This window comes from Homo sapiens, chromosome 1 (genome assembly GCF_000001405.40).
Source record: "Homo sapiens chromosome 1, GRCh38.p14 Primary Assembly".
NCBI lineage: Eukaryota > Metazoa > Chordata > Mammalia > Primates > Hominidae > Homo > Homo sapiens.
Window position 1 is genome coordinate 35,475,244 of NC_000001.11, and position 16,249 is coordinate 35,491,492.

At 39.2% G+C, this 16,249-nt stretch overlaps 1 protein-coding gene across 18 annotated transcripts in view; it reads right to left on the minus strand.

Annotated features, from left to right (window-relative positions):
* The window catches only part of KIAA0319L (KIAA0319 like), a 124,170-nt gene that overhangs the window by 41,752 nt on the left and 66,169 nt on the right, over positions 1 to 16,249 (minus strand). For all 18 annotated transcript variants that reach the window (XM_006710909.3, XM_017002369.3, XM_047430826.1 and 15 more), the window contains one exon: positions 3,723 to 3,969. In XM_006710909.3, coding sequence (XP_006710972.1) covers positions 3,723 to 3,969 — 247 coding nt within the window. The remainder of the gene's footprint in view (positions 1 to 3,722; positions 3,970 to 16,249) is intronic.

Here is a 16,249-nt window from a genome sequence, read left to right on the forward strand (position 1 = left end):
TCTTTTCCTCCACTGTATTTTTACTACAGTCTGTCCCTAAGCCCTCCCTATATACTACATTCCACAGAGTTCAAATCCTGTTTCAAGTATCACCTTTATGCTAACAAATAACTTTCTAATAAGATACATATATAAAGTTTCTAGAAGGGAAGGCAAATGGTTACAAATCTGCCTTACTTTCTTTCCATTCCAATTGCTACAAGATTCATTGTTCACACTAGATTATTCCAAGAATTTTTTTTTTCTTTTTGAGTCAGGGCCTCACTCTGTTGCTCAGGATAGAGTGCAGTTGTGTAATCATAGCTCACTGCAGCCTCAAATTCCTGGGCTCAAGCGATCTTCCCACCTCAACCTCCCAAGTAGCTGGGACTACAGGCATGCACCACCACGCCCAGCTTGCTTATCCCAAGAATCTTATTTTATCTTCCCTCTGCTAGCTCTCTCTACTCCAATCTATTCTGTCTTCCTAAAACAACCAACACCATTAGTCTTTCCAAAATACTCACCCACTATGTTACTCTTCTATTTAAGACTCCTGCTCCCATATCATATTTAAGGACAAACTTCCAACCTGCCATTAGAGAACCATCATCTGATCTCACTGTCTTATCCTTCCTATCTAATTTTGCCTCTAGTTACATTGATTTTCCCTCTTGTGTTCCACAAAGCCACGGTCTACTCTCAGGGACTTTGCTAAAGTTATTTCTTTCAACTGCGGTGTTTGCCTTGCTTTATTCTAAATACAGCATTTTGTTTCTAGCTTAAAGTCTGTCTCCTCTCCAAGAAATCTTCCCAGACCATTTCAGTTCAAACTGATCTAATCTTGAAGTATGCTAGCATTTTTGGAACACTCAAGTCAGCAAAGAGCTATATACTGTCTTTATACTATTCACCAGCTATTTCACATATGTCAGAGTTTCTCAAGCTCAGCACTCCTGATATTTTGGACCAGGTAATTCTTTGTCATGGAGGGAAATGTCCTGAGCACTGTAAGGTGTTTAACAGTATCACTGACCCATACTCACCAGACGTCAGTAGCATCACTCCCCTCCCCCAACTAAAAATGTTTGCAGACCACTGAAAGCCACCGATTATATAAATCTTATTTCTCTGACAATAAATGTTCATTTGCTATGAGACTTCAAAACTAGGAGAGCTTAAAGCAAACAATAGGCTAGTCCACTCATATTTCAAGCCTGGGAGGCGAGAAGGGCTTCCTAGACAAATATGAAACTTGAGATTTATCCGCCTCTGCATGGGAACATTGCACTTGAGGAGAAATGAAACCATCCTTAATGGAAGCTTCAGCATTTGGATGCCCCAGGAGATGGAATAAGAACTCTCTGAAGTGACTTTCAAAAAAAGAAAAGAAAGAAACATGATACTCAGAGAAAGTATAATGAACCAAAAAATGGCTATTCAAAACAGTTCAACCCAAACCCTTCACAATTACACCAAAAATTACAGGCATCTTGACTGGATACAAAAATTACTTTGGTGCCTCATGATTGAACCCCTAAAATTTCATGTTCTATTACTACCAAAGGACACCCTGAAAAATTAAAAATTGGCAAAAATTCATTATCACTGACTTTGCTTTTACCCTCTTGACTTTTTCAGGGGATAAAGACCAACTTAGTTTCTTGATTAACCAATTCTTCCTAATACCTTAGAACAGCACCTGTGAAGCACAGATTTATTTATACACTATGTATAAATCTACTTCTTATGAATGGCTTTAAAAATAAAGATGCTTCTCCAGGACACTGGTCTGAGCAAAAAAAAAATTCTTGAGTAATACCCCACAAGGACAGGCAACCAAAGCGAAAATGGACAAACGGGATAACATCAAATTAAAAAGCTACTGCACAGCAAAGGAAACAATCAACAAAGTGAAGAGACAACCCACAGAATGGGAGAAAATATCTGCAAACTCCCCATTTGACAAGGGATTAATAACCAGAATATATAAAGAGTTCAAACAACTCCACAGGAAAAAATTTAATAATCCCATTTAAAAATGGGCAAAATATTTGAACAGGGATTTCTCAAAAGAAGACCTACAAATGGCAAACAGGCATATGAAAAGGTTCTCGACATCACTGATCATCAGAGAAATGCAAATAAAAACTACAATGAGATGGCCGGGCGCGGTGGCTCACGCCTGTAATCCCAGCACTTTGGGAGGCCAAGGCGGACGGATCACAAGGTCAGGAGATCGAGACCATCCTGGCTAACACGGTGAAACCGCATCTCTACTAAAAATACAAAAAATTAGCTGGGCGTGGTGGTGGGCGCCTGTAGTCCCAGCTACTCGGGAGGCTGAGGCAGGAGAATGGCATGAACCCAGGAGGCGCAGCTTGCAGTGAGCCGAGATTGCGCCACTGCACTCCAGCCTGGGCAACAGAGTGAGACTCTGTCTCAAAAAAAAAAAAAAAAAAAAAACCTACAGTGAGATATCATCTCACCCCAGTTAAAATGGTTTTTATACAAAAGACAGGCAATAACAAATGCTGGTGAGGATGTGGAGAAAAGGGGAACCCTCGTACACTATTGGTGGGAATGTAAATTAGTACAACCACTATGGAGAACAGTTTGGAGGTTCCTCAAAAAAATAAAAATAGAGTTACCATGTGACTCAATAATCCCACTGCTGGGTCTATACCCAAAAGAAAGGAAATCAGTGTATCGAAGAGGTATCTGCACTCCCATGTTTGCAGCACTGTTCACAACAGCCAAACTTTGGAAGCAACCTAAGTGTCCATCAACAGATGAATGAATAAAGAAAATGTGGTGCTTATATACAATGGAGTACTACTCAGCCATAAAAAAGAATGAAATTTTGTCATTTCCAACAACATGGATGGAACTGGAGGTCATTATGTTAGGTGAATAAGCCAGGCACAGACAAACACTGCTTGTTCTCACTTATTTGTGGAATCTAAAAATCAAAACAACTGAACTCATGGAGATAGAGAGTAATGGTTAGATAGATGGATGGTTACCAGAGGCTGCGAAGGGTAGTGTGGGGGTAAGAGGGAGGGGGGGATGGTTAATGAGTACAAAAAAAAAAGCTAGAAAGAACAAATAAGACCTAGTATTTGATAGCACAACAGGGTGACTATAGTCAATAATATTTTAATTGCACATTTTAAAATAACTAAAATAATATAACTGGATTGTTTGTAACACAAAGGATAAAGGCTTGAAGGGATGGATACTCTATTTTACATGATGTGATTATTACACATTGCATGTCTGCATCAAAGTATCTCATGTATGCCATAAATGTATACAACTACTATATATCCACAAAAATTAAAAGTTTTAAAAATAAATAAAAATTAAAATAAAGATGCTATAAAAATGAGAGACCTACAACCAGACTTTCAGAAGGTAAGCAAATACACTGATCCAAATCTTTCTTCCCAGTAGGCTCTGATTGATCACTTGAACATTATACTTAATTGAATCATGTGCCTTTAAGTCACAGTGGAATCTGGATCTGTGAAAATTAGCCTCGTAAATTTCCATAAGCTGGAGGCCTGCTGAGGAAAGGCTCTAGAGCCCCCAGTCCATGACTGCAGGGGCAATGACAGAGTTATTTTTTCTCTAACACACAGTATTCAAGTTATGCCTCCCTTCCTTCTTTCCTCTAAAAGGGAATACTTTGATCAAATGTTCTACTTTTTCCTTCTATCTCCAAGAGCAAAGGTCCTTACCTGGGTATGGTGCTGAGGTGCTCTGGAAAGAGGCCTGGGGGGTAGGGGTAGCATAACTGTAGGAGGGAGCCACTGGCTGGGGGACAGCAATCTGGGTTTTCTCAGAACTTTTTACTTGTTGAGTGCTGGGCGTAGTAGCAAGACCCTCTGATATTTCAGGTTGCACTGATACATTCTTTGGCCCACCAGACAGCTCTGCAGTCAGGTCTGTGGTTAGGGGACTGGAAATTGTAATCGCCTTGTGGACCTAAAGAAATAAAAAAACTAATTTGAGTAGGTAAAAGTTACATAATTTTTCAGGTTATGTCTCATGAAACAATAGTCTATTAAATGTTCTCTTGAAAAATGCAAAAATATCAAAAATATTAAAGAAACTAATCTCACCACCCAAATAAAAGTGGTGTTAAATGTTGAGATAAATCTTGAGTTTTTTTCCTAGCCAAAATGTTTTGTTTAAAACAAAATAGTAATTTTCTGCATTCTAAGTGTGCTGGAAAAGCAAAACAATGTATACTTTTACCCTGTTAACATTTCTATTCAATCTTTCTACAAATACTTATTGAGCACCTATTACAAAATAGCCCTTGTGGATCCAAAATATAAATAAAACTAATCGTTGAGCACTGAAAGCATAATAAGCCAAAATAGTAAATATACCAGCTAAGCATGGTGGCTCACGCCTGTACTCCCAACACTTTGGGAGGCCAAGACAGGAGACCACTTGAACCTAGGAGTTCAAGACCAGCCTTGACAATATGGCGAGACCCTGTCTCTACAAAACATAAAAAATTAGCTGGGCATGGTGGCCATGCCTGTGGTCCCAGCTACTTGGGAGGCTGAGGTGGGAGAATCGCTTGAGCCTGGGAGGTCAAGGCCGCAGTGAACTGTGATCATGCCACTGTACTCTAGCTTGGGTGACAGAATGAGACCTTGTCTCAAAAAGAAAAAAAAAAAGTAAATATACCAATGTTTATGATGAGCCAAAAAAAAAAAAAAAAAAAAAAAAACACAAGCTAAAGTTACTTAATCCATCTCCCTTTGAGGGAGAAAGAGTATGGAAAAGAATGATTTTTTTATTATTATTATTAAAGAAAAAGGCTTCCTGAAGGAGAAGAGCCCTAAGCTGAGTTTTAGAGGATAAACAGTTGTTTACTAGACAAAAGGCAGAGGGCAGAGAATGAATGTAGGCACAAAAAATGAAATTAACATGGTCTGTATTGGGAACTGACAGCCATAAGCAAAGTGAGAGGCAAAAGTAATAGAAGATGAGCTGGAAAGATAGAGGCAAAGACCAGATGGAAAAAAGCATTACATGTTATTTTAAGAAACTAAGTAATGGTAAGCAATTTAAGGGTTGTATGCAAGGAAGTAACAAGGTCGAGTTTCTGTCTTACAAGTCATTTCTTAGCGTATGGGTTTGAAGAAGTAAGGCAATAGCAGGAATATCACTTAGAAGAGTACTGCTTTCATCCAAATGAGAAATAATGAGTAGCGAAACAAGGGTGGTGGTATGGATTTTTTAAAAATCAAATTCGGCCGGGTGTGGTGTCTCACACCTGTAATCCCAGCACTTTGGGAGGCCAAGACAGGTGGAACATTTGAGGTAAGGAGTTTGAGACCAGCCTGACCAACATGGTGAAACCCCATCTCTACTAAAAATACAAAATTTAGCTGGGCATGGTGGTACACGCCTGTAGTCCCAGCTACTCAGGAGGCTGAGGCACAAGAATCACTTGAACCCGAGAGGAGGCGGAGGCTGCAGTGAGCCGATATCATGCCACTGTACCTCAGCCTGGGCGACAGAGTGAAACTCTTGTCTCAAAAAAAAAAAATCAAATTGGTTGAAATATAATTCACATAAACTACACACATTTCAAGTATATAAGGTCAAAGTTTTGATAAATATATATACCCATGTAACCACAATTAAGAGAGAGAACATTTCTATCAGCCCCCAAAATTCATTCATGCCCCTTTATAATAAATCCCTGTCTCCATCTCTAGGCTCAGGAAACCACTGATTTGTTTGCTATCAAAGTGAGATTAGTTTGGGTTTTCTTGTATTTCATATAAAAGGAAGCATATACATACTATTTTTGTTTCTGGCTTTCACTCAACACGTTTTTGAAATTTATTCATGATATTGTGCATATCAGTAGTACATTCTTTTTTATTACTGAGTAGTTTTCCATTATAGAAATACACAAAAATTTGGTTTACATTTATCTACTGATGGAATTTTAAGTTGTTTTCCGTTCTTAGTTATAAAAACTGCTATGAATGTTTAAGTATACATGTTTCTGTAAACACGTGTTCTAATTTATCTTAGGTAGTTACTTAGGAGAATTGCTGGTTATACATAAGTATATGTTTAACTTTGTAAGAAACTATGAACTGTTACCCAAAGTGGCTGTACATTTTATATTTCTACCAGCAACATACGAGAGTTCCAGTTGCTCTACAACTTCACCAACACTTGGTATTCCTGGTCTTTTTATTTTTTGTCATTCTAGTGGTTATAAAGTAATATATCACTGATGACTTTCCTGATGACTAATAATATTGAGCATATTTTCCTGTGCTTATTGACCATTTTTTCTTTGAAGAGGCAAAGAGGTAAAGTTTATCCAAATTTTTACCCCCCCTTTTTAAAGCTTTATTAAGGTATAATTGACATACAATAAATTGAACATACATAAAATGTACAATTTGATAAATTTTTATGTATGTATACACATTTGAAACCACCAGTACAATCAAGCTAATGCATATCCATCACTTCCAAAGATTCCTCATGCTCCTTTGTAATGCCTTCTCCTCCCCACCCTAAGCAACCATTCTGCTGTTTCTTTTTTTTTTTTTTTTTTTTTTTTTTTTGAGATGGAGTCTTGCTCTGTCGCCCAGGCTGGAGTGCAGTGGCGCGATCTCGGCTCACTGCAAGCTCCACCTCCCGGGTTCATGCCATTCTCCTGCCTCAGCCTCCTGAGTAGCTGGGACTACAGGCGCCCGCCACCATGCCCAGCTAATTTTTTGTATTTTTAGTAGTGATGGGGTTTCACCGTGTTAGCCAGGATGGTCTCAATCTCCTGACCTCGTGATCCACCTGCCTTGGCCTCCCAAAGTGCTGGGATTACAGGCGTGAGCCACCACGCCCGGCCTGCTTTCTGTTTCTATAGTTTGCATTTCCTAAAAGGTTCTATAAATGGAATCACAAAGTAAGTACCCTTTTTTTTGAGAGGGGCAGTCTGGCTTATTTCACTCAGAAAAATTATTTTGTATGAATAACAAAATACAAACAAAATGTTTTGTGTATCAATAATTCATTTCTTAGCATTGCTAAGTAGTTTTCTGCTTTATATTATATACTATAATTTGTTTATTCATTCACCTATAGATGAACGTTTGGGTTTATTCTAGCTTTTGGCTATTACAAATCAAGCTGTTATAACCACTCATCTACAGGTCTTTTTTTTTTTTTTTTGAGATGGAGTTTCGCTCTTGTTGCCCAGGCTGGAGTGCAATGGCGCAATCTCGGTTCACCACAACCTCCGCCTCCCAGGTTCAAGCGATTCTCCTGCCTCAGCCTCCCGAGTAGCTGGGATTACAGGCATGTGCCACCACGCCCAGCTAGTTTTGTATTTTTAGTAGAGACTGGGTTTCTCCATGTTGGTCAGGCTGGTCTTGAACTCCAGACCTCAAGCGATCCACCCACCTCGGCCTCCCAAAGTGCTGGGATTACAGGTGTAAGCCACTGCGCCCAGCCTCTACAAGTCTTTGTATGGACATGTCCTTTTATTTCTCTTAGGTAAATACTTATAAATAGAACCCCCGATCAATGTACCTTTAACTGTTTCAAGAAACTGCCAAACCATTTTCTGAAGTTGTTATGACATAATATAGTACCACCACCAGTGTATTTCAGTTATCATATAATCTTGACAGAATTTGGTGTGGAAATCTTTTTAATTTTAGCCATTCGAGGTATGTAGTGGTATCTCACTGTGGTTGTAATTTACATTTTCCTAGTGATTAGCGACATTGAACATCTTTTTATGTATTTATCGGACACCTGTATAACCTCTTTGGTGGACTATCTGTTCCAATCTTTTGCCTGCTTTTTAAAATGGGTTACTAGTTTTCTAATCAAGTTACAAGAGCTCATTTATTTCTATAAATGAGTCCTTTGTCAGACATATAATTTGCAAATGTTTTCTCAGTCTGTATCTTCCTTTTTCGTTTTGTTAGTGTTAGCTTTTCATTAACAAAAATTTGTAATTTTGATAAGCTCCAATTTATCATTTGTTTCTTTTACAGTTCATGCTTTCAGTGACATGGCTAAGAAATCTTTGCCAAAGCAAGATCACAAAAATGTTCTCCTGGGTTCTCTTCCATAAGTTTTATAGCTTTTACTCTTAAATTGAGATCTATGATCCGTTTTGAGTTGATTTTCCTCTAGAGGTAAGGGTCAAGGTTCATGTTTTTACATATCATTATCTAATTGTTCTAGCACCATTTGTTGAAAAGATTATCCCTTCCCCACTGAACTGCACTGGCACATCAATGGACCATATAGGTGTGGGTCTATTTCTGGACTCTATATTATGTTCCATTAACTTAATCTAGTTTTATACCAATACCACTGCCTTGATTACTGTGGCTATACAGTAAGTCTTCTAGCTAGATAGTTTAAGTCCTCCAACTCTATTGTTCTTTTTCAAAATCATTTTGATCATTCTAGATCCCAATCTGTATAACATGGTTATATTTGTTTCCTAGAGCTGCCATAATGAATTACTATAAACTTTGTGGCTTAAAACAATAGAAATTCATTCTCTCACAGTTCTGGAGGCCAGAAGTCTGAAATCAAGGTGTTGGCAGGGCCATACTGCCTCTGAAGGCCCTAGAGGAGAATCTTTCTTTGCCTCTTCTAGCTCCTGGAGGCTCTTAGCATTCCTTGGCTTGCGGCAACCTAACTCTACTCTTCACGTGGCCTTCTTCCGTGTCTGTGTAGATGGATCCAAAGCTCCCTTTCCTTTCTCTCGTATAAAGACACCAGTCATTATATTAAGGGCCCACCCTAAATACAGGATGATTTCACCTGGAGATTCTCAACTAATTACATCTGCCAAGACCCTATTCCCAAATAAGGTCACATGCTGAGGTTCCAGATGGACATGAATGCGGGGAGGGGAGGACATCATTACTTATTTCTCATATTCCTCTCAGCAGAGTTTTGTAGTTTTCAGTATACAGTTTTTGCACATATTTTGTTAAGTTTATGCCTAAGTGTTTCATGTCTTTGGGTGTTACACATTTTTTAAAACTTCAAGCTAGGTATGGTGGTGCACACCTGGAGTTCCAGCTACTTGAGAGGCTGAAGGAGGATTGCTTGAACCCAGAAGTTCAAGGCCAGCCTAGGCAACATAGTGGGACCCCTATCTCTAAAATAAATAAATAATAAAACTTCAATTCCCAATTATTCATTGCTAATATAGAAACACAAGTGATTTCTGTGTATTGCCCTTATATCCTGCAATCTTGCTAACTTTACTTAATAGTTCCAGTGGCTTTTATGCAGATTCTTTAGAATTTTCTAGAAATAATCCAATCATCTGTGAATAAAGGCAGTTTTGCTTCTTCATTTCCAATCTCTATTTCTTTCATTTCTTTTTCTTGCATTATAATTGGCTAGGACCTCTACTACAATATTGACCAAATGTGGTTAGAGCCACTTCCCTATTTGTTAAGTAACTGTCATCTCATTTTCCTTTAAACCTTTGAACACGATTTAAGTTTTTAATCATATATATATATATATATATATATATATATATATATATATTTTTTTTTTTATTATACTCTAAGTTTTAGGGTACATGTGCACATTGTGCAGGTTAGTTACATATGTATACATGTGCCATGCTGGTGCGCTGCACCCACTAATGTGTCATCTAGCATTAGGTATATCTCCCAATGCTATCCCTCCCCCCTCCCCCGACCCCACCACAGTCCCCAGAGTGTGATATTCCCCTTCCCATATTTTTTTAACAGCTATTTTGAAGTCTCTGCTAAATCTAATAGCTGGGCCTATTCAGAAATCATTTCTATTAATGACTTTTTTTTCCCTGAGCATGGGTTACACCTTCCTGATTTTTCCTTGCATGTCTTATAATATCTGGTTGAAAACTAGAGGCTTCAGATAATCTACTGGAGTAGCTATCGATTGTTTTATTTACCTGATGGGCTATTTATTGTTTTTAATAACTTGCCTATACTTAAACTGCAAAATCTAATTCTCCCATAGTATGTTGTGACTGATGCTCTGCTCGGTTTTTTTTTCTTGTTTTTATTTTAGCCTGGGTTTCTAGGGCAGCCTATGCCTGCATCATTTAGTAGTCAGACAATGATCTGGGCAGGGGTTGCTCATAGACCTCAAACCCATAAAGCTTTGCCATCTGCCAATCTATCTGTATATTGCCTGAGGAATGCATTCAAAGTTACAGCCAGTTCTCAAGTCCCCTTTAATTTTTACTTTTTATTGGGTTCCCTTGGGTCCCTCCTGCACATGCAGGTAACTTCCCTATCAGCCAGAGATATGTGGAGAGCTTATCGTAGCCCTTCTATGGCTCTCTTATTTTCAAGATCTTCCCATTTAGTTTCTGGCAGGTCCACCATCTACTCCAACAGGCACTGCAACCTTCAGCTAGCAAAGCTGTGGATTCTCTCCATTCATTCTCAACCAAGTTTGCCACTTTTAGTTGGCAAAGCTGTGAGTTTTCACCTGTCCCACATTAAGTCTACCCCCTCTGGCAGAAAATTTGCTAGTGTTATTTATTTATTTTTTTTCCTTTTCAATTGAGACGGGGTCTCACTATGTTGAGTTCCAGGCTGGTTGGAACTCCCGAGGCTCAAGCAGTCCTCCTACCTCAGCCTCCCTGTAGCTGAAATTACAGGCATGTGCCACTGCACTCTGGCTCCTTAAGATATTAGTTTTCATGTTCAGCCACACACTGGTAAAACTACAATTCTTGTCACCAGAGCTGAGTAATGGAGGTAAGGACAGATGGGAAACATTCCAAGAAGACCACAGACTTCCACTGTACCTACTCAAAGTATTACCAGCCTTTTAAGAATAAATTCTTAGGCTGGGGTGTGGTGGCTCAAGCCAGCGCTTTGAGATGCCGAGGCAGGAGGATCACCTGAGCCCACGAGTTTTTCAAGAACCTAGGCAACATAGTGAGACCCCGTGTCTACAAAAAATATAAAAAGTTAGCTGGACGTGGTGGTGCGCACTTGTAATCCCAGCTACTTGGGAGGCTGAGGTGGGAGGATGGCTCATGCCAGGGAAGTCAAGGCTGCAGTGAGCCATGATCACACCAACCTGGATGACAGAGTAAGACCCTGTCTCAAGAAAAAAAAAAAAAAAAAAAAAAGAATAAGTTTTTCTCAATTTGTTTCTGCTTCTATTTTATTTCTAGATATGTTAAAAATATTTGGTTTTAACAATTTTGCCCAGTTTTATACTTGTTTTTTACACGAAAACTACAGATCCCTTCTTGCTGCCATTTTGTAAGCCCTCTTGTTTCTATTTTCCCATTTTTAACATTTCTTTTCTGAAATTCTTCATCTGTTTACTCATTGAAACTATTTTCTGGCCCGATACAGTAGCTCACACCTGTAATCCTAGCATACTGGGAGGCCAAGGTGGGAGGATTGCTCAAGGCCAGAAGTTCAAGATCAGCCTGCACAACATAGCGAGACCCCATTTCTACAAAAAAAAAAAAAAAAAATTATAATTAGCTGGGAGTGGTGGCACACCCCTGTAGGCCTAGCTACATAGGAAGCTGGGTTGGCAGGATCGCTTGAGCCCACGAGTTTGAGGCTGCAGTAAGCCAAGATAGCACTACTGCACTCCAGCCTGGGCAACAGAATGAGACCCAAAAAAACAAAAACAAAACAAACATTTTCCTTTAATTATCTGAACATACATATGATAGCTACTTTGAAGTCTGACTACTATCTCCAACATCTGAGTCAACTTGGAGCCACCTTCTATTGACTGCCTTTTTTTCCCTGCGTATGGATCACCCTTTCCTGTTCCTGTGCATGTCTGGTAATTTTTGGTTTAACGTTGGACATTCTGATACATGTAGTGACTCTGGATTCTACTATATTTTCCTTGGGATTACTGGGGGAGGTTTTCCTAGTAGACAAATAACCTCCCTGGACTGAACTGTAGACTTTGCTCCTTACAGTGTTCAACAACTGATATCTCTGTGTAGTTCTCACAACTTTTTTTTTTTTTTAAGACAGTCTTGCTCTGTTGCTCAGGCTGGAGTACAACAGTGTGATCTTCTCAGCTCACTGCAACCTCTGCCTCCTGGCTTCAAGTGATTCTCGTGCCTCAGCCTCCCTAGTAGCTGGAATTAAAGGCATGCACCACCACACCGAGCTAATTTTTGTATTTTTAGTAGAGACGGGGTTTCGCCATGTTGGCCAGGCTGGTCTCTAACTCCTGGCCTCAAGTGATCCACCTGCCTTGGCCTCCCAAAGTGCTGGCGTAAGGCACCACGCCCAGCCTGGCCACTACAGGTCTGCCTGTGTAACTGATAATTGACCAAGAATTTGGCCAGAGATTTTACTCAGATTTGGGGCCTGTTCTCATTGTACTGTCTTTGTTTCTGGGGATTCCTCCCTAACTTTTCAGCCTTAAGATTACGTCCACTGACACCTCAAGTCCATAAGACTTCATATATCTGCCACCTGGTTCCCCATGGTTGGAGAATGCATTCAATTTTAAAAAGCAGCAAACTTACGAAGTTCACCTTGTGTAGATTCTGTCTTTCAAAGACAGAACTCTAATCTCTGCCTCCCTAATCTCTGCCTGCTTTTTCAGCAGGCCTCATGGAGTCTGCCCATGCAGGTGTAGTTTAGAGGTACATCCAGGGATTTTAGCAGAGTTCACAGTCAGGTTATGGGGGTCACCCTCTTCTGTGGTTTTCTCACTTTCAAGCCCTCCTGCTAAATTTTCAGATGCTTTTTCTATCATGAACTCTGTTTTTGCCACCATAAGAAAGTAAGGCTGGAGTTTTCCACTGCCACTTTCCTCTGCTGTGGGAGTTGTTGAATGCCCTCAGGAAAAAATTTTTTTAAGCTGCAAATTCACAATTCTTTTCACTCCCAGTTGCCATTTTTCAAAAGTAAGCGCTCCTCTAGCTTCTATCTGCTTTTGGAACCTTTCCAGTATCTTTTAATACATTTGTTTACAGATTTTCTAATATTATCTGTGGGAAGGTTTCAGAGACTACTTCACTCTGCCACCATTACTGGAAACTCCTCCTGTGGGATGGATTTTAAAATATTAAGAATCTAATATTTATGGAGCTGTAATAGATCTGGGGTTTGGGGAAGAGTCTGAGATGACACCCATGTTTCTAGCCTGAGTGAGGGACTGACTACAGTAGTATCAAAAACGAAATAGACTACAGAAGAGCAACTTTAAGGAAATTACAGGAAGTTATGTTTTAGACAAATTGAAGCTAAAATACCTCTGGGAAATTGAAACAGAAACTAAGATTTGGAATCATGCTCCTAAAGCCATGGGAGTGGATGAACTACGACAGGAAGAACATGTAAATAAAAGAAATAGTAATCAAAGAATAGAACATTTAGGAATACAAAGGCTGTAAGCTGATAAAAGGACCAACAAAATTGACTAAGAAGGAATCATCAGGAAGAAGGAAAAGGACCAGGAATGTGTGGTCCCCAAAGAAAGAAGGGACAATTGCAACCAGTATGAAATAATGCAGATGGGGCCAATCAAATAAAGACTGAAAAGAATACACTGCAATCAGCAACTGTGAAGTCACTGGTGACCCTGGCAAGAGTAGCTTCAGTGGAAACCAAATTCCACATGGCTGAGGATTAGATGTAAGTGAATAAAGAAGAGACAGCAAGTGCAGACTACCTTTGATATTTCTAGATAAAAAGGAAGAGAGACAAACGAATGGTAGCTAAAGATGCAAGGAGACAAGATCAAGGACATATTTGCAAGTATCAAGTTTGAACAATGAGCATCAAGTTCTGAGACTGAAAACTTAATGATAGAGTTGAGTATTATGCAAATATTTAGGAGAGCATCTGGGTCCAAACTTGGGAAGTAAATATCAGAGAAGGCTTCAAAAAGAAGTAAAGCCTAGGAAGACTAAGTAGTAGTTAGGTAGGTGAATGCCACAAGGTAAAAAAACAAAACAAAAACAAAAAAAAACATGGTGGACTTTCTGTTCCAGTCAAGAAGAAGTAACAGCAAGAAGATTTATCCTTCTGAAAAAAATTTAAAAACCAGACCAAATATATTAAACAATGGCGTTCAAGACACCAGACATCAGGTGATAAAAAACAGTGATCCCTAAGAAATGAAAAACAAGTAAGATCAACCCTATGATTGCCCCAGCTTACTGTCTAGAAAATGTTTTTGAGCCATGGCACAGGAAGAAGAAATCCAAGCACAGACCAGCAGTCTTTCTGAGTTGAAGAGCTGAACTGGAAGTCTGGGAAAGAAGAGTGCTATACAGAGACAGAACTCTGAAAATTTGAAGGAGACCCCCTTAAGTACTCAAGGGAATACTGATAATCAGATGTATATGGAGAAACTACAGAGGGTCAGGGAAAAACTAACCTGTATTCTTTGTTTTGTTTCTTTGGGTTTTTTTTTTTTTTGAGATGGAGTCTCACTCTGTCACCCAGGCTGGGGTGCAGTGGTGCAATCTCCACTCACTGTAACCTCTGCCTCCCAGGTTCAAGCGATTCTCCTGCCTCAGCCTCCCAAATAGCTGAGATTACAGGCGCCTGCCACTGTGCCCGGCTAATTTTTGTATTTTGAGTAGAGAAAGGGTTTCACCATGTTGGCCAGGTTGGTCTCGAACTCCTGACTTTAAGTGATCTGCCCGCCTCAGCCTCCCAAACTGCTGGATTACAGGCATGAGCCACCATGCCTGGCTTTTGTTTGTTTCTGAGACAGGGTCTCACTCTATCACCCAGGCTGGAGTGCCATGACGCGATCTTGGCTCACTGCAGCCTCGACCTCCCAGGCTGAAGCAATCCTCCTACCTCAGCCCCCCAAGTAGCTTTTTGTACTTTTTACAGAGATGAGGTTTTGCCATGTTGCCTAGGCTGCCCTGTAGTTCTCTTGATTACAGAGAAAAGTACTCAAGTTTAGACGGCTAAGAAATAGTACCTATTCCACAAAGCTAGAATGGAAAACTTTGTAATTCATAGGGCATCAGTTAAAGTACTAATAAAAGTCCTACTTTAGTAGGATAGAAAAATTAACCCTAGACTAAATGCAGCTCCGGACTCACATGACAAAGCTTAAAAGCAAGACTCAAAAGTATCACTGTTTGCAAATAATTTAACCACAGTCCAGAACAAAGCTCAAGAATATTCATAGTGATACAAAAATATCCAACACCCCAGTAGGTAAAATTTACAATGTCTAGCATTTAATCTGAAATAACCAGACATGCAAAGAAGCTGGAAAATAAATACTATAATGAGAAAAAAAATGTAAATCAATTAAAACTGATCCAGAAATAACAGAGATGACAGAACTGGTAGATAGGGATATTAAAATAAGTATTATGATTATATTTCTATGTTTAAGAAGTTATAGGAAAGGTTATAAGACATAAAAAAGACCTCATATCAAACTTTTAATATAAATATTACAATGTTTGATATTAAAGAAAATACACTTGATATGTTTTGGCTCTGTGTCCCCACCCAAATCTCATGTTGAATTGTAATTTCCAATGTTGGGGAAGGGACATAGTAGGAGGTGACTGGATCATGAAGGTGGATTTCCCCTTCCTGTTCTCATGATAGTGAGTGAGTTCTCATGAGATCTGATGGTTTAAAAGTGTGTGGCACTTCCCACTTGACTCTCTCTCTTTCCTGCATGTGAAGATTGTGCTGCTTCCCCTTTGCCTTCCACCATGATTGTAAGTTTCCTGAGGCTTCCCAGCCATGCTTCCTGTACAGTCTGCAGAACTGTGAGTCAATTAAACCTCTTTTCTTCATCAATTACCCAGTCTCACATAGTTCTTTATAGCAATGTGAGAACAGACTAATGCAATACTGTAGGAATTTAATGGCAGATTAAACAATGCAGAAGAAAAGATTAGTAACCTTAAAGAATTTCAATAGAAACTACTCAAAATGAAACACAGAGACGAAAAAAGACTGAAAATAAACGAATGGGGATCAGCAAACTGTGAAATAAATTCAATTGGTCCCAAAGGGAGAGGGACAGAAAAATATTTGAATAATTGTCAATAATTTCCCAAATTTGAAGAAAACTATAAACCCACATTCTAATCCAGATTAAAGTTCAACAAGCCCCAAGCACATGAAACATAAAATTACGCCATAGAATAACATAATCAAATCGCTTAAAACAGTGGTAAGGAGAAAATTATATAAGCAGCCAGAGAAAAAAGAAACATGATATATGTGGAACAAAGATAAAA